Raw genomic sequence first — 19,981 nt, 5'->3', positions numbered from 1 at the left:
CAAAGCTCTTGAAAGTGTCATCTACCTTCACTGTGTTGCAAGATTGTTAATATCTATATAGCATAAGGACAATATCCTGTTATTTATTTCTATCCACCCAGCTTGTTGAATGACCTTGATCACATCACTTATTTCAGCCTCAGGTTCCCCCATCTGTAAAATGGGGAGAATGATATTATATTGGATAAGGGTATAATGAAATATGAAATTAATCAGTTACCCATAAAACATCCTGAGATCATGAAATAAGAGGCAGTATAGAAAAAAATTTTTTTAAAGGGTAATGTTATAAAATTCTGGTAAAAAGATTTATAAGACTAGAACTCACTGGAAAATTTTACCAAAGAAAAGAACTTATTTTTAAAGATCCTTTAAAATTATATTTACAGATGAACATTCAAGTCTGTTTATCCATGAAATAGGTACATCATATCCAGTAGCAGACTTACTTCACAATGCCTGTAACAGAAAGTTATTTTCTTTAAATTTGAAGAGGAAAAACTTGATAATTTAGCTTGAAACCAACTATTAATAATACTCATTCAAGAGGCATCAGTATATGGGAATAGTAAAGACAGGGAAAGACAAAGTACCCTGTCATTAATTCTATCCTCAGGTCCAAAGAGCTCTTGGACACCCCAGACCATCCGTACCTGTTGGGTGAGGAGGTTGATGTGGCTGGATGGAGAATACTGTCTCGCTGCCTGCTTCTCAGCTAGCCGCTGAAGTTCAGCTGTAACCATACTTTGGTTGTACCGTTTGCTATATAAAGAAGCATCTTCTCCCTCTTTTTGTGTTTTGGCTATTCCTGAATGATGCTTGTTTAGATAGCACGATCCTGCTAAAACGGAGAAAAGTTTTCACTCATTTAGGAAAAAAAGGCCTGAAAAAAATTAGGATAATGACAGAAATCTCAGGTCAACAGATACTTTACTGAACCCTAAGGATCTTTAATAATATAGGAGAAATAAACTATCTTCAAATGATCACAAAAATAAATGGTTACCATAACCTAGAAACTCTTCCTATTACCAAACTGCCACATGCATTATTTATTAATATGTTTTTGCTTATAATGAAAGCTTCACAAAGAAGAATTTTCATTATATGTAGTGGGGAATACCAATCCTATAATTTGCTAATCTTACTGAATAAAAAATACATATTTGAAACTCATTATAATTCTTGTTTTTCTTGTTATGTAACTGTACTTGTCAACAGTCTGTGGCATCCACTGTCAAATCATCCATAATACTTAGAAAGCTCAAAAGGGAAACAGGGATAAAAACAAAATCGAGTATACTCAGAAAAATAACAATAATCTTATATTTTCTTTTTTTTTTTATATTTTTAGTCAAAACATGTTTTCTTTTTTATTATTATTATACTTTAAGTTCTAGGGTACATGTGCACAACGTGCAGGTTTGTTACATATGTATACATGTGCCATGTTGGTGTGCTGCACCCATTAACTCGTCATTTACATTAGGTATATCTCCTAATGCTATCCCTCCCCCCTCCCCCCACCCCATGATAGGCCCCAGTGTGTGTATATTTTCAAATGACTGATTTCCCTTTCAGATTTAAATTTTCTTCTTTCAACTGTAATATCAGAGCATTCTATTATTTAAGCACTGAAATTCTGGCAAAAAGAAATTATTTAATATAAAATCAAGATTCAGCTGAGCACAGTGGCTCATGCTTATAGTCCCAGCTACTTGGGAGGCTGAGGCAGGAGGATTGCTTAAGCCCAGGAGTTCAAGGTTACAGTGAGCTATGATCATGCCACTGCACTCCAGCCTGTGTGACAGAAAGAGAACCTGTCTCTAAAAATAAAATAAAATAAAAATTCACATTTTTCCTGATTGTAAAAGTCACATCTCTTCAAAAAAAATCTTTAAACTCAGAAAAGTAGAAATAATATAACCTATTTCCTGTCTTTTTAAAATTAATGCTAATATAACAATGATCATTCTGCATATACAACTGATTTTCTGAATCTGTAACTTTTTCACGTTTACTATATTATTTAGTACATACAAAATATTTATAATAGCTGTATATGTAGTTATATGCATACTGTAATGAACACCTGTGAACTCACTACCCAACCCAGGAATTACATTATCAACAATATGTACTAACCTATGTGGTTGTTCCTCCCCATTCCTAATCTCCCCTTATCAAACATTCTTTTAAAAAAAAAAGTTTTATCAAATATATTTGTGTGTATATGCATATACAAACAAAATACCAGATAATTTTGCTCGTTTTTGAGATCTACAAAAATGGTATCCTAATATAGATATTTCCTGGGACTTGCTCTGTTATTCAACTCTACTCTTCCAAGATTAATCCTAGATAAATACAGCTGAAAGTCATTCATTTTCCTTGCTGTCTGGCATTCCATTTTATAAATACACCACAACTTATATTTCTATTCCCCTATCAATGGGTATTGTGGTTATTTCAAGCATATTGCCATTATAAACAACGCAGCCATAAACACCCTTGCATACATCTGCTGGCACACGTATAGAAAAGCTCCTCTTGTATATGCCCAGGAGTGGAATTGTTGGGTCACAAAGTATGTAAATTTTCAAGTTTATGTAGTAATACCAAAGTGGTATTTTTTTTTTTTTTTTTTTGAGACAGAGTCTTGCTCTGTCACCCAGGCTGAAGCGCAGTGGCGCGATCTTGGCTCACTGCAAGCTCCGCCTCCCAGGTTCACGCCAATCTCCCGCCTCAGCCTCCCGAGTAGCTGGGACTACAGGCACCCGCCACCAGGCCCGGGTAATTTTTCTTTTTTTTTTTTTTTTTTAGTAGAGATGGGGTTTCACCGTGTTAGCCAGGATGGTCTTGATCTCCTGACCTCGTGATCCGTCTGCCTTGGCCTCCCAAAGTGCTGGGATTACAAGCGTGAGCCACCGCACCCGGCCCCAAAATGGTATTTTTTTACACTCCAACAAACAAAATAAAAAAGTTCCTGGGCCGGGAATGGTGGCTCACACCTGTAATCCCAGCACTTTGGGAGGCTGAGGCAGGAGGGCCACTTTAGCACAGAAGTTCGAGACCAGATTAGGCAACAAAGTGAGATCTCTTCTCTACAAAAACTTAGCTGGGTGTGGGGACATGGGCCTGTAGTCCCAGTTACTCAGGAGGCTGAGGTGTGAGGATTGCTTAAGCCCTGGGAGGTCAAGGCTGCAGTGAGCCATGATTGCACCACTAAACTCCAGCCTGGGTGACAGAGTGAGACCCTGTCTCAAATTAAAAAAAAAAAAGAAAAAAAGAAAGAAAATTCCTGTTGATCCATAGCCTCTTCAACACTTAGTATTGTCAAGTGTCTTAATTCTTCCCATTGTAGTCTTCATGTACCTGATTAATGATGATGTTGAACATGCTACCTCTTTTCTGGTATCATTTTTCTATTGGGCTATCTTTTTCTTATTGACTTACACGATTTGTGTTTTTGTTTTTACTTTTGCTCCATACCACAAGTTCTTAATGATGGTCTCCTTTATTTTATTATTTTATTTCAGTATGGAAGTTTTACAACTGAAATTGATTTTATACATGGTGTGAGGCAGGGATCTAATTTCATCTTTCTCTGTGGGGATAACAATTACCCCAGAAGCATTTATTGAGACATCTCTCCCTTTCTTCTGATCTACAATGCCATCTCTGTCATACATGAAATTTCCATCTTCTTGTGTGACTGTTTCTAACTTTCTATTCTGTTCCACTGGTCAATCTGTCTACACATTTGCCAATACCACACTGTCTTAAGTATCAGACCTTTATATTAATAAGGTGCTCCTCCACCTTATTTTTCTTCTTCAGTAGGTTCTCACTATTCTTGGCTCTTTGCCTTTCTATTATCATTTTAGAATAGGCTTAAAAAATCCAATGACACACTTGTTGAGATTTTGATTGGAACCGTATTGAATACAGAGATCAATGTGATGAAAATGGAAACTTTGATGATATTGAGTCTTCCTATGCATGTACGTGGTATATTTATCCATTTATTTAAATTTTTGTTAATGTCTAATATCTGTGTCTTTCAATGTAGTCTTATAAAACTTCCTTTCCTTTCTAAATGTATTCCTAGGTAACACAGTTTTTATGCTATTATTAGTGATATTTTTAAAAACATTTTTATTGGTGGTGATGGCTGCAAAAGTGTGACTGTACTGAATGCCACTGAATTTAAAATAGTTCAATGTTAAATTTTATGTTATTTATATTTTGCTACAATCAAAAAATTGTTTTCTGTCACTTCTGGCAAGTAATTTTGAAAGCAATTAATTTTTAAATATTGATCTTATGCTAAAATAACTATTTCTAAAATGTATCTGTAATTACTTTGTTTTCTATGTAGACAATATATTATCTGCAATTACACAATTTTGTTTCCTCTTTTTTGATCCTTATGCTTATACTTGATCTTAGCCAAAAGGCTAAGAAGGGATGATCCTTATGCTTATAATTTCTTTTTCTTATCTTACTATGTTGGTTCTGATCTCCAGTAAAACACTGGACAGAAGGAATGTTAATGGGCATCCTTACTTGTTCTCAATGTTAAAGAGAATGCTTTCAACATTTCCGTATTTAGGCTGATAGCTCTTGCAGGTTTTTGGCAAATACCCTTTTTTTAAGAGAATCTCCTTCTCTTCCTAATGAGCTGAGAGTTATCATCATGAATGAGTGCAGAATTTTATCGAATTCTTTTTCTGCATGTACCATGATGAAGAATATGGTTTTTTCTTTATTATATTTACATGGCAAATGATATTTATAGGTTTACTAATGTTAAACCCCTCTTACATTCCTTGAATAAACTTGCTCATGGTGTACTACCTCTTTTAGATGTTGCTAGAGTTGATTGGCTTTTATTTTGATTCAAATTTTTGCATTTGTGTTAATAAATAAAGCCAGTCTGTAATTTTCCTTTTTAATACTGTCCTTAACTGTTTGTATTATTAAGATAAAACTAGCCATACAGAATAAGTTGAGGAAAATTCTCTTTTTCCACACTCCAGAAGAGTTTTTTTAAAAATATATTGAAATTATCTACCTTTTGAAAGATTAGAACTTACCCATAAATCTAGGCCTTATGTTTTCTTTAAGACTTTCAACTACTGTATCACTTTTTAAAATACTTATAGGACTATTCAGACTTTCTTCATCTTCTTGAGTCATTTTTACATAAGTTATAGTTTGTATGAGTTTGGTCCATTTTATGTAAGCTTTCAATTTTATTGGAATAAAGTTAAGATTACATTATTTTTGTCATTTTGGGTGTATTTATATTTTCTATGTCTGCTTTTCTACTCCTTATATTATTTATCCATGTCTTCTCTTTTTTCTTGATAGGTGTCATCAGAGGTTTGTCCATTTTATTAGGCTTTTCAAAAAATCACTTTTGGCTTTGCCACCCTCTACTGTGCCTTATTTTTGAATTCTATAATTATTGCTCTTATCTTTATATTTCTTTATCCTTTATTTAGATTTATGATACTGTTGTTTTTATAATGTCTAAAGCCAGACATTTAGCACATTAATTTCCAGCCTGTCTTCTTTTCAAATATAAGTTTTTATTTACTTATTTACTTATTTATTTATTTATTTTTAGAGATGGGATCTCGCTATGTTGCCCAGACTGGTCTCGAACTCCTGCGCTCAAGCAATCCTCCCACCTCAGCCTCCTAGGGAGCTTGGACTACAGGTGCACACCAACTATAATTATTTAAGCCAGTAAATTTCCCTTCAAATACTGACTTGCATTGCTCTCTACTTATTTGGACATACAGCTTTTTCATTATCATTCAGTTCTAAAACTTAATAATTTACTTCCATCAGGATTTCTTCTTTGACTCTTAAATTTTGAAATACATGGGGGTTTCTTCTATATCTTTTTGTTACTGACTTTCAACTTAATTGCAATGTGGACAAAGAATGTGGCTGTGTGATACCAAGTCTCTGCAATTTGTTCTCTTGTTTATGATGTAGGGTATGACAGATTTTTATAAATATATCATGTACGCTTGAGGCGTTTTGTCTAATTATTGGGTACACGGTCCTATATATTATCAATAAATAATCTTATCATCTTGTTCAAATCCTCTTTATCCTTTCTGCATTTTAAAAATCTGTTTAGTGTATTAATAATTAATAGAAGTATGTGGAAATCACCCACTAAGATAGTGGATTTATACATTCTTCATGTGGTTGTTTCCATTTTTGTGTTACATATTTGGAGGCTATTTTATGAGGTGCAGACACTTTTAGAATTGTTTAACTTTTGACTGAACTGAACCTTTTGTCATTATGTAGTTACTCTTTATCTGTAAGAAAGTTTTATATCTTCAAGCCTATTTCAGCATATATTAATGCAACCATACCAACTTTCTTCTGGTTAGTACTCATCTCGTATTTCTTTTTTCAATTTTTTACTTTTAAACGTTCTGTGTCCTGAAACTTAGGTGTGCCTCTGGTAAACAGCATATAGTTGGATTTTTTTAAACTTTAAAAATCTGTCAAGTTTAACCTATTTATGTTTATTTGCTTCTTGATATATTTGGACTTGATTTACAATGTTTTTTGTTTTGTTTTGTTGTTTGAGATGGAGTCTTGCTCTGTGCCCAGGCTGGAGTGCAGTGGTGTGATCTTGGCTCACTTCAACCTCTGCCTCCCGGGTTCAAGCAATTCTCTTGCCTCAACCTCCTGAGTAGCTGGGACTACAGGCCAGCGCCACCATGCCTGGCTAATTTTTGTATTTTCAGTAGAGATTGGGTTTTACCATGTTGGCCAGGCTGGTCTTGAACTCCTAACCTCAAGCGATCTGCCTAACTCGGCCTCCGAAAGTGCTGGGATTATAGGCATAAGACGCTGTGCCCGGCCAATTTACTATGTTTTAAATTTCTATTTATCTTGCTTTTTCTATGCTTCTTGCTTGCATACACCTAAGTTTCTGCATGTTTTTTATCCACAATTCATTTTTCTTCTCCCCATTAGAATTTATACTTTTATTCTTTTAGTGATGACCTTTGAAATTTGATGCTGTATATTTAACTTTAAAAAGTCTATAGAGTTAAATAAAATCTTACTCCTATTCCAAAATCACTCAATTACCACAGAAAAATTTAACTCCAATCAATTACAGGCTGTTGTCAATTATATATTTTTGTCCGCATATTGTCATCTACTACTGTTTAATCCATTCAGATTATGTTCTCTGACCACAGTGGAAATAAGCTAAAAACCAATTACAAAAATAAAGAATCCCAACTACCTGAAAATTAAACAATATATTTATAAATAATCCAAGAGTCAAAAAAGAAATCACAATAGATATCAGAAAATATTTATGAACTCACCAACTTCTTTTGTTCACTATCATTCTCTTGGAAAGGATCAAAAGGGAGGGTTTTGAAAAAGTTTTTATGATAACACAGGCCACTGAAGACATTCATCTTACTGAATTTCTTACATGGGGAAAAAATAGTTCAAACTAGAACATTATTGATCATTATTATTACCGATTTTAGAAAATTAAATCACAAGAACAAGATCACCCAGAATTAGCAGATATATACATATGTATATATTCATATTTATGACTTATTAAAGTGGACCATTTAATATCTCTGACTCAAGCTGCATATTAAAATATCCATTTCATTTGAAAACAGGTATTAAGAAATATAGACTGGCTATTTATAAAACATGTCTTAGCTGTAACTCACCTTAACATAGCTATTACTAGTGTTTAAATCTTGACTGATGTTAAGATAGTCCCCAAACTGATCCACAGATAATAATCCTATCAAAATCCCATCTGCCTTTTCTTGAGGAAATTGACAAGCTGATCCTAAAATTCATATGAAAATGCAAGGGATCCAGAACAGCCTAAACAATCTTGAAAAAGAAGAGTGAAGTTGGAACAATCATCCTTGGTGATTTCAAAACTTACTATAATGCTGTAGCAATCAAGACAATGTGATATTGGCATAAGGTCAGACATATAGATCAATGGAATAAAACTGAGGCCTTAAAAATAAACTTTTACATTTATAATTAATTGATTTTTGAGAAGAGTGCCAAGACAATCCCATGGGGAAACAATACTCTTTTCCACAAATGATGCTGATTTAACTGAATATCCACATGCAGAAGAATGAAGTTAGACCCCTACATCATACCATGCAGGACAATTAACTGAAAATGGACAAAAGACCTAAATGTAAGAGTCTAAACTATAAAACATAGGAGGGGCCGGGCGCAGTGGCTCACGCCTGTAATCCCAGCACTTTGGGGAGGCCAAGGTGGGTGGATCACAAGGTCAAGAGATCGAGACCATCCTGGCCAACATGGTGAAACCCCACCTCTACTAAAACTACAAAAATTAGCTGAGCATGGTGGCATGTGCCTGTAGTCCCAACTACTCGGGAGGCTGAGGCAAGAGAATCGCTTGAACCTGGAGGTGGAAGATGCAGTGGGCCGAGATCGTGCCACTGCACTCCAGCCTGGCGGCACAGCAACAATCCGTCTCAAAAAAAAAAAAAAAAAAAAAAAGGAGGAAATCTCTGTGACACTTGATTAGGCAACAGTATTCCAGACATGATACCAAAAGCACAAGTGACAATAGAAAAAAAACAGATAAACTGGACATCATTAAAATCTAAAACTTTTGTGCTTCAAGAAAGTGAAAAGATAACCATCAAGTAGGGAAAAAATATTTATAAATCCTATCTGACAAAGGGTTTTTATCTAGAGTATATAAAGAACATTTACATTCAACAATAAAAAGGAAAACATATGAATTTTAAAAAGGGCAAATAATTTAAATAGACATTCCTCCAAAGAAGATATACAAAAATCCAATAAGCAAATGAAAAGATATTCAACATCATTAGCCATTAGGGAAATGCAAATCATAACCACAAAAAAGAGATACTATTTCATACCCATTAGGATGTGAAAATCAAAAACAGAGACAACTCATAGTTTTGGCAAGGACAGGGAGAAACTGGAACCCTCAAACATTGCTGTTAGTAAAAGGGCACAGCGACTTTGGAAAACAGTTTAGAAGTTCCTCAAAAAGAGGAAATACAAAAAGTTATCATATGAACCAACAATTCCACTCTAGCTATACACTCAAGAGAAATAAAAACATATGTCCACACGAAAACTTACAAACAAATGTTCATAGCAGCATTATTCATAATGGCCAAAAGGTATAAACAAATCAAATGCCCCTCAACTAATGGCTAAACAAATTGTGGTATATCCATACAATGGAATATTATTCAGCCATAAAGGGAATGAAGTTCCTACTACAACGTGGATGAACCTGAAAAACATTATGCTAAGTGAAAGCAGCCATTCACAAAAGACCACCTATTATGATTTTACTTATATACAATGTCCAGAATAGAAAGCAGCCATTCACAAAAGACTACCTATTATATGATTTTACTTATATAAAAATGTCCAGAATAGACAAATCTGTAAAAACAGAGAAGTAGATCAGTGGTTGCCAGGGGCTTGGGGGAGGAAGAAACAGACCGTGGCTGCTAACAGGTATGGGGTTTCTTTTGGAGATGATGAAAATGTTCTAAAATTAGATACTGGTGTCGAATGTACAAGTCTGTGAAGATAGATATATATATAACCACTGAATTACTGAATTGTACATTTTAAAAGGGTGAATTTGATAGAATGTAAATTATATCTCAATAAAGCTGTTATTAAAAAATGGAGGACAAACTTGACACTATAGGTCTATTTCAGTTAAAATGATATAACCTATTCTAAGAATTCTTTGGTTATTTATTCAGGTCATTCTTGCCTAAAAACTAACTTGTCTGATGTTGGGAATAACTATTTGAAGCACAGAGAATGCATATAGCACACTCATAGATGGTTATCTGTGACAGGAAATCTCTTGACTAGGCTGTAGGCTCCTAGTGAACAGAAGCCTTGTCAGATTCATCTCTTTATCTCCAGTACCTAAAAGAAGTCCTGTTTCCCTTTGTGTCAATGAAGGCATGCTACTGGATGCAATGCAAAAGTCTTCTTTAGTCACGTCAGAACAATGCAGTGTGTGTCCATTTCCATTTCAAAATTTAAAAAAAGGCAAAGGGAAGAGATGACATCCTTTCTTTATTGGGGCTGGGGAGGAGCTCACATTGTGGACTGTCTTTCGTTCTCTCACTCACCTGCCTTTGCTGAAGAGGGACGAGACAGTTTCTGGCTATAGATGTGTGCAGCACTTTGGAAGGAAGAAAAGGGACCAATGGTGTGACTTCCTGATCGACAGCGTGGCAGGCCAGTAGGGCTTGGGATGTTCTGTGCCCCGGGATGTAGGCAGGGAGAAGCACTGGCAGAGACTGTGTTCAGTAAAATTGTTGGCTGGTGAGGCATGCTGGGGATAGCTGAAGGAATTTGAGATAAAGAAGAATGGTGGCAAGGCCCTGGAGAGAGGTCAGAGGTTGTAACAGATGACAAATGGGTGTTGGGAATTTTCTGCAGAGTAGCAGTAGGACCAGAGGAGGAATTGCTATAAACTAATTTTGCCTCTTTTTCTGCTGAAGTGGTAAATCCTATTAAAAACAAAACAAAACAAGACATCATTATAGGAAAAACAAACATACAATCTCTATAAAACAAATATTTTTAAAACATAAACATCACAATAATCTTGGCATGAAACAGAAATCATGAAAAATACAGACTTTAATGAGTGTTCATCATAAACTTAATGATTTTTGCCTACCAGAAACAACCTGGCAACAGAAATAGGAATTTACTTTTATTCCTTTCTAAAAGCTGGAGTTGGGACTACCTCTATGAAACAGAGCAGGCATGTCTTACACATGTTAGGACATCAAGATGAAGTCTCCACTAGCAACAGCTAATTCCTCTCCCCCTTCTTTTCACCCTTCTAGGAACAAAGAATGCACTTAGAATTTCTAAACTTAAGAAAACGAAAAAGTCTTTGGAAGGAAAATAGCTTATCAATAGATAAGAGAAAATTCTAAGGGAAAAGGAAAAAGAAAAATATTTCTTTGGGGTAATGTTCCATGCTTTAGAAATATTTAATATCTGATGACTATTTCCTTCTTTTAGGAAATTATCAGAGAGCAGCAAATCTAGGTAGGTTTGAAATCACTCACGAGATAATTTATCAGAATGAATTTCTGTCGTCTGTTGCTGTTTAGGTGGCTTTATTTTCACTTCTTCCATTATAGTCTCAGGGTGATCTGAAATAAGAAATAATGAGCTTGGACTCTCTTATAATCAATTGCAAGTCCGCTGTTCTATACATAATTTTATTCCCAAAAATATAACACAACTGCTAATCAATGCTGGGAAACATGGCACGTCTCATCACACTTTTCCAAAGATGAAGACACCCACAGCCCTAAGGAGTAGGCAACCAATTAAATGATTCCCAGCTATTCCCAATCCCAGCTACAGTTAACTGAACTGGCGAACGGTACCTAAACCCAGGGCAGCCATCCACGGACAGCCAACAAGCTAGGGCTTATCTGGAAAAATAATAATAATAATAAGGGCAGTCAGATTTATGCCAGGAATTCAGACTGAGGGTTCTAAGAGATCACGCTGGTTGGTGGTAGCCCCTGGAGCCAAGAAGTTACAATATATATGGAGCAGCGAAGCTACCCCGAGACAGCAAGAGCGGTCCCACTATTTCTTGGCATAATACCTGGATACTACGATGGCTCTGTATCTTAAACTCCTCAGCTTTTTTTTTTTTTTTTTTTTTTTGAACAAAGTTTCACTCTTGTTGCTGCCTAGGCTGGAGCGCAATTGCGCGATCTTGGCTCACTGCAACCTCTGCCTCCCAGTTCAAGCGATTCTCCTGCCTCAGCCTCCTGAGTACTTGGGATTTACAGGTGCCTGCCACCACACCCGGCTAATTTTTGTATATTTAGTAGAGACAGGCTTTCACCATGTTGACCAGGCTGGTCTTGAACTTCTGACCTCAGGTGATCCACCTGCCTCAGCTTCCCAAAGTGCTGGGATTACAGGCGTGAGCCACCATGCCCGGCCTAAACTCTTCAGTTTTACTGGAGATAGGTTGATCAGTATATTCAATAATAGTATCACTCTAATCAATTTTGACATTAATAACTAATTTTTTCCACTACAGAATTTTGAAACAGAATAGCCAGAGCTAATCATATATAAAAATATTCCAAAATCTTTGTCAAGGGCTAGAATCATACAAAAACTTAAGAAAGGCCATTTTATAGATCATCTTTCAGAGTGAAAGAATAAAGACATACGAATTTTCTCCCCTCCATCGCCAATAGCAGTGGTAACACTGTCACACACTTGTTTGTTCATGTTTGAAATGACTCCAGATACTATACTATCAAATGTCATAATGTTGTTTCCTTGATTGACGTCTTCCTACTGCCCCCGCCGGCCAGTTATCCTTAACAAGTTTACACAGGTATGGATCTTATGTAAAGGTAGTCCTTAAAACACAAACCCTAGAATTTTGAATGACCTATCAGTATAAAAGATGTCGCCACCACATGCTGTTAGGGCTTCCACATTACTGCCAGGGGAGAAGTTACTAGATGAATGTCCATCTAGGCCCCTACCTCCCCAAATTAGCACGCTTTTCTCTATTCCAACCTTATTACAAGAATTCCTTTGTCTCCCTTAGCCAAAACTCTTATAGGAGTTTTTCAGAGCTTCTGCCAGCTTTCTTATTCTATTCACTCACCTGACTTTTACCTACCAGACAATAAACTTTATAAAGTTAAAGACTGTGACAGTCCTGGTCATTGTATCCCTAGCAACCATGAAAATGCCTAACACATAATAGGTGCTAAGTAAAAAAAAGTATAGAAAGAATGAATGAACAGGTGAATGAAGTTAGAAAAACTCAAAGAAAAGGGCTGGATTCAGGACTTCCAGTAATACAATAATTCAATCATACCATGAGTTAAACAGGCTTATGTGGATTGGCCTATGAACCAAATCAGTTTTTAAAAGATTAACACTGTTTCTTTGGGAAAATTCATTCCACATTTTAAATGACCAATCTTCCTGGCTATTTCCATATTAGATTATCATAACTTAAGAGCAGGGAAGAAGTCTCCATCTTTGAATCTAGTACTTAGCACACTGACAACATCAGTAGGTTGATTACCTATGCCTTAGGCTTCCATCTAGGTTTTAAGTTAATTTTACATTTAAAGCACAGAGCTTTGTTTGTAACAGAATGTCACTGCTATTTTTTTTTATCATGGTGACGTGAGCTAGACAGCCACATCCATATTCAATTCCAAAATCCCCAACCATGGAATCCCCCAGCAGTAAGAAGTTTTAGAAACATGTAGGGGCATTCTGGATTATCACAATGGCTGGCGGAAGCTAATGGCATGTCAGGCTTGGAACCAAGTATATTAGACTTCCCACCAGGTATGGAACAGCCCCACACGACAAAGAATTCTCCTGCCCAAAATGCCAATGATGTTAAGTTAGAGAAAGTAACAAACTTGACAAGAGTCAGAAATAATCATTAAGAGAGACAGAAGAATATATTAAGAGCACAAACTTTGAGTCAGGCAGGCTATGTATCAAATTCCTTGTCCCTGCACGATAAAGAATAACCTTGGGCAAGTTACTCAGTCTCTTTTAGCTTATTTTCTCATCTGTAAAGAGGTTCTGTAGTAGTGCCCACTCTATATGGTTTTGGGAAGTAAAAAATAAGACCATGTCCAGCAGACAGAAAGATAAGTGTTCACTAAATATCAGCTATTATTAGCTTTTCTTGAAAATCTCTCTGCTGTTAATTATCTTGAAAAAAAATCAGACCATGCCCTTCTTCTGCTTTTAGGACAAAAAGTACTGTCCCCCATTCTCCACTCCCTCCCCAAGCTGCAAAGTCTCATTACCTTGGGGACTATTAGTGCTTAGCCAACACATTATTCCTCATTCTCCTTTGCATTTCTCATTTCTTCACTTGTTCTTCTTATTTTTCGTTCATTAACCAGTATACTTACCACCTTTTGCCCCACTATCAGAATAATTGTTGTTGTTCTTAGAAATTTTAGAGTGAGTCCCCAGGAAGACACTAGCAGACTTGTTCTTTTGGGTATAAAAAGTCAACACCTCCTCCAGTTCAGCCTCACTGAAATGAGGAGAAAAAGTATGGTCAGACAGGAAGCTATTCTGGAAAATCTTTCCACCAGATTTTATTATGAAAACAGAGCAAGCTGGAAAAGGGAAAAATGAAAAGCACAAGCTGAAAATTCCCTATTAATAGGTGGTTAAAATAAAATATAAATGAAAGCAATCTAAAAAATTTAAAGCATAAGGCTTTATTCATCCCGCAGTGAATTTTCTAGATCTACACTGTCTAATATGGTAGCGACTACTCAGTCATATGTGACTATTTAAATTCAAATTAAATTAAAGATTCTTTTCCGTAAACTAGCCACACTTCAAGTGTTCAGTAGTCACCCACAAAAAGTTCTATTGGACAGCCACATTCTAGAACAGGCGGCAAACAACTACACACTGTGGGCTAAACCTGACCAGCGACTTGTTTTTATGGCCCCCAGCCAAAAATTTTTTAAAATATTTTTAAAGAATATGCAAAACAACAATAACAAGACAACAACCACCACCACCACCACCCATATGTAGCCCACAGAGTCTGAAATGTTTATTATCTGGACCTTTACAGTTTGTTCAGCTCACTTCTAGATAATTGAAGTACCTTCACTTAAAGAGCCACTTGTCATTTTCATTGCCTATGTCAGAAATAAGGAAATCCACCAATAACCATAGAATTCCCTAACCATCTATATAATGCACGAGACTAAAGTATATCATCTCTAAATCACTTCAAATTACTGAAATTATATGCTCTTTATGAACAGCCACAAAATAGAAAGTATAAGGAAACAGATGAGAGGCTAGTGGATTCTTCTATTGAACATATCACACATGGACTTTAACATCTGTAGCAGCTTCTCAATGGCCTTTTTCTTTTCTTTTTCTTTTTCTTGAAGCTTGGCTACGTTCTAGGAAAGTGGCTATTAAGTGAAGAATGCCTGCATTATCACAGAGAACCTATATCCCATCTTCAGAAAACACACTCTAACCAGAACCTAGAAACCACCTTTATGAATCTCAGCGTAAACCCTAAAGTCTTCAAAGTAGCCAAATGCCACAAGATAAGTCTCTCAAGTGACTATCAAAGATCTACAGCTGAGGGTGCAAACCTTTGCCTGTCAGTGTGTTTTATTTGGCCCTTCACAGAATACTGAAAGGCAAAGGTTACGGTTGGTCAAAATACAAGCTGCTTTATATCTGTCTTATCCTTTGCCCACTTCATAATTTATGTTTTCCTGTCTGACTCCAGCAAGTATTTGAATTTACCAGCCCTGAAAAGTATCCATGTACTCAAACCAAACTTAATAAAAGAAGAACTGACGTCACCACATTATTTCCCAACAATCAACACCTAATCCCCAATCAGAAGTAATTATGTTCCAATGCATTTTATCTCCACATCTATATAATTAGTTAACAATATGTTATAATTCATTTTTAGTGTCCAGTTAGACTTGCTTGGGAAATAGTGTTCTTTTAAAGGCTGGGTTTTTTAAAATATATATTTTAGGGATTTTGAAGATCCTTAGGATAAACCTGAAAATTATCTTTTAGCTTTAAAAAGTAGAGCTATTTTCTGGACACAATCTGTTTTTTGTTTTTTTTTTTTAATCCTTTTCTGTTTTTATAACGTTGATGAGAGAAGCTGTTACTATACCTGTTTTATCAATCATATTACTTAAGACTCAAAAATGTCAACAAATAACACCATACAATTATGGACTCCTACAAAATGATATATTTGTTTGCTGTAAAGCGCATGATAGTGAGGTCTGAAAAGGGTATTAAACAAAGATTATATTATGCTGGTGATTGATAAGCTCCTACCCCTACCTCATTTAACTTCACCAATCAACATAGGGTAGATTTTCTACTGATTTTCTCCCTATTTGTGACTTTGACAGTTGAAGCCTAAGTAATGGGGCTTACTGTTTTTTTATCCTATTTTATTTTAATGGTTTTGCACATCTCTCTATTTAGAAAAAAATCCTCCAGTGTAAGTTTTACAAGATTTAAAATTAAGTGCCTTTGTTATCTCTTCCTTTGTAAGCCAACATAAATGGACAAAATGGCCTGGCTGACTTTTATCAAGATAGAGAGATGAATATCGAGATTTTCCATTTCTAAAGGCTAACCCTAAGCATGAAGAACTTGTTCTATTTTATATAAATTAGGTGTAACCCTCACAGAGTGGAGAAATTGCAAATTCCTCAGCCTACTCAATGTAGGCAAAATGTGGTCATTTCTACTCCATGAGTAGGTCAGGGACAAATTCAGACCCAGTAAATATGAGATGCCTCTAATTTCAACTTTCCAAAGAGCTCTCATGTGACTTCAAGAGATGTGCACTGTGAAGGCTGTCGAGAACTACAGCCCTGCTACCCAGCAGTAATGTTTTGATAACTGAAGCCATGAAAATAGCAACATAATTGGCTAAGATATGGAGAGGCCAAACCCATACAATCTTTTCTCCTTCTGAGAATGATTTCTTTTTTCATCATTTAGAGACAGGGTCTCACTATGTTGCCCAAGCTGGCCTCGAATTCCTGGGCTCAAGCAATCCTCCTGCCTCAGGCTCCCAAGTAACTAGAACTAAAGGGGTGTGCCACTGTGCCCGGCTTTAAGAGTGATTTCATTCACATCCATGTATCAGAAACAAAGGAATGCTGGGTACTCAATGAGCATTATGGAAGATGGAATAAGACAGCTTTTATCAATCAAGAATGTCTACTACCTTGCTTGTCTGATGAACTCCTGAAAGTTTTCCATATTCACCCCATCTTCCTCTTCTTCCTCAACTTTCTTCTTTGATTTCTTTTCAGCCATTTGTTCTGTTTCCTACCCAGTGCCCAAACCCCACAGAAAAACAACAAGATAAAACTGACTCCTAATAAATATGCACTTCATCATGTAGTTTCAATAGCCTTGAGTTAATCTGTCCTTATAGTAAAGACATTTAATTCTTGTATGTACTTTTGCCACCTATAAATTTGACATATTACTTTTGGCCATGATTTTGTAAAACATTTTGAAATTCCCAAGTAAAAGTTGCAGAATGAATGTAAATTTTAATCATGTTTTTACTTTCTACTTACACAGCCCATTGATTAAAGAGGTTTTTATAGTAGCTTAGTAATATCTATGATCACCCTTGTAGCTTTAACAATATGACAACAGAGACACAGTATTTTGTTCCAATTAGGAGAGGAAAGACAGATCTTGGAAGGTACTCTTATACCAGCTTCCATACTGAATAAATTCTTCACTTATATAAGACATAACAAAATTCTCAACAGATCTGGAGTAAATTGTGGCTATGAGTTTGGTGCACTGATATTCTACCAACAATTCCATGCAACTTTAGAAAAGCCATTTAAATTTCTATCAGCTTTTCCTTCTGCAAACTGACCAAACCTCCCAAACCCAAACACCCAAAATGATATTTTTAATGCATTCTGAGATCCCGGGATATAGAATGCTTTGCAAAATATTCTAATTAAATAGTATATTTCTTGGGCTTGACTGTAAAATTCTGTAATGTATAAAATGTTTTAAAGATGAAAGTATAACTCGTTCAAGAAAGAATATGTCATTACATTCAATCCACAGCTCAAATTTGTTCTCCAATGGTCAATTTGCCACTTTCTACAGGCACTAACAACCGTGCAGACTCACACAGCCTAGGATTCATCTCAGTGCTCAAAAGGAATATGCCTTTTGATAAGAATTAAGAATTAACTATGGCCACTGGGCCTTCAGAAGTAATAAATAGTTTTTCAGACCAGCTGAGTTAAGGTGTGGGGTCCTGCTTCCCCTAACAGTAATACATAAGGGATGGTGATGCCAGAGAACAGAAGAAGAGTGTCTCCATCCAGTTGGACAGAGGCTTCTATCTAGTCTGTTTCTGACAGTGTATGGCAATCCAAAGCACAAGACTAACAGAAAAAGACTTACCTTGTTGTATACAATGATAAAGTCACCCAGCTGGTGGGCCAGGATTCTTCTGCGTTCCAGAAGTGCCAATCGTCGACTGGGTAATACCATCCTCAGTGAATGCTGGAGGTTATTTGATGCTCGCTTGAGGAAACGAACAACCAGCTCCTATAAATTAAAGAGTCGTGGGAGAAAAAAAAAGGAGGGATGGTGCTAAGCAACAGAAGACAAGCTATGAAGGCATTATATAACAGAGATGGAAGAAGACATATATTACACATTTCAACAAACAAGACCCAGAACAAAAAGGTTAGGTATAAGAAGCATACAGAAAGACAAAACAAAAATGAAAGAAACTTATTCCCTTCCCTCAATCAGCTGGCAATCAGAAAATTTAAATCAAGTATGTATGTAAATAACTATGTAATAAAGTAGCAGTTGTAAAAGTACCACAGTACATACACAAATAGCACTATTTAGGGAAGGTAGCATTCAAAGACAGGTAGTAGGAACTAAAACTGTGGAAGCAGATGAAAGTATCAAAGGTGAGAAGACAGAGAATACAGAAATATTCATATTTAGAGATAGAAAAGATGATGAAGTATCAGGAAAAAAAAAAAAAAAGTTAGAAACACCAGAAACACAGAAAACCAGGAGAAAATAGGCTGGGCATGGTGGCTCACACCTACAATCCTAGCAATTTGGGAAGCTGAGGTGGGCAGATCACTTGAGGTCAAGAGTTCGAGATCAGCCTGGCCAACACAGTAAAACTGCATTTCTACGAAAAATACAAAAATTAGCCTGACGTGGTGGCACACACCTGTAATCTCCGCTACTTGGGAGGCTGAGGTATGAGAATCACTTGAACCCAGGAGGTGGAGGTTGCACCGAGCCAAGATCATGCCACGGCACTCCAACCTAGGCGACAAAGCAAGATTCCATTTCAAAAAAGAAAAAAAAAGAAAATTAAGAGAAAATAGTGCCATGGAGGCCAACTGAAGAAAGGGTTCCATGTCAAATGCTTCCAAGAGGCTGGAGCTGGAAAGGCCCACTACAAAGACAAGGCCTTGGATCTGACCACTGAGGGATAATTTCAAGAAAACAGTTTCAATAAAGAGAGTACAAGAAGACATTAAGAAAATGCATGGGTAATGAAAAATATACGTGAAGAGTAGAAACTAATGACTTTAAAAGTGTCGTGATTAAGGCAAAGAAAGAACTATCACAGTAGTTTGAAAGGTAATAGCTTTTTTTCTTCCCCAAGAATAAGGGAGCTTTTAGAGTTGGGGGTTGTCAAGGAGGGCACAGTGGAAAGTTATTAAGGTAAAGAAAGAATACATCTCACAGAAGATGGGGGCAAAGGATTTTGAAATCTGAACAGATACCAATCAGATTACTGATGAAATCATAAATGCTTCAAAGAGAGATTTTATAAGGCCAAGAGCCTTAAAGATGTTGTTGTCCAAAAACCACAATAAAACTGCCTTCAGATGATAAATCTGGGGACGTTCTGTTGATGTGCCTTCTGTGAGTTATGAGATAAGGAATCTCTAACCTAAGCTGGAACACAGAGGCCAACTCTACATCTACCTTCCTCAAAAGCAAGACCACTGCTACAATCATCAGGGAATGGGGTAAGGCTTGTACTCTCGCTCTCTCTCTCTCTCTCTCTCTCTCTCTCTCTCTCTCTCTCTTTCTCTCTCTCTCTCTCTCTCTCTCTCTCTATATATATATATATATATATGTATTTTTTTTTTTTTTTGAGACGGTATCTTGCTCTGTCACCCAGCCTGAAGTGCAGTGGTGTGATCTCAGCTCACTGCAACCTCCGCCTGCCAGGTTCAAGCAATTCTCCTGCCTCAGCCTCCCAAGTAGCTGG

At 36.3% G+C, this 19,981-nt stretch overlaps 1 protein-coding gene across 1 annotated transcript in view; it reads right to left on the bottom strand.

Annotated features, from left to right (window-relative positions):
- Nucleotides 1-19,981, bottom strand: part of TTLL5 (tubulin tyrosine ligase like 5) — a 293,834-nt gene that overhangs the window by 161,326 nt on the left and 112,527 nt on the right. The window contains exons 22-27 of the mRNA NM_015072.5: nucleotides 18,124-18,270; nucleotides 16,904-17,007; nucleotides 14,052-14,179; nucleotides 11,181-11,267; nucleotides 10,224-10,607; nucleotides 654-838 (exon numbers count right to left, since the gene is read on the bottom strand). Of these exons, the coding sequence (NP_055887.3) occupies nucleotides 654-838; nucleotides 10,224-10,607; nucleotides 11,181-11,267; nucleotides 14,052-14,179; nucleotides 16,904-17,007; nucleotides 18,124-18,270 (1,035 nt within the window). The remainder of the gene's footprint in view (nucleotides 1-653; nucleotides 839-10,223; nucleotides 10,608-11,180; nucleotides 11,268-14,051; nucleotides 14,180-16,903; nucleotides 17,008-18,123; nucleotides 18,271-19,981) is intronic.

The sequence above is a fragment of the Homo sapiens genome, chromosome 14, assembly GCF_000001405.40.
Source record: "Homo sapiens chromosome 14, GRCh38.p14 Primary Assembly".
In the NCBI taxonomy this organism is placed as follows: domain Eukaryota; kingdom Metazoa; phylum Chordata; class Mammalia; order Primates; family Hominidae; genus Homo; species Homo sapiens.
Note: the sequence above shows the minus strand (reverse complement) of the source record. Positions and strands in the feature narration are given on the sequence as shown.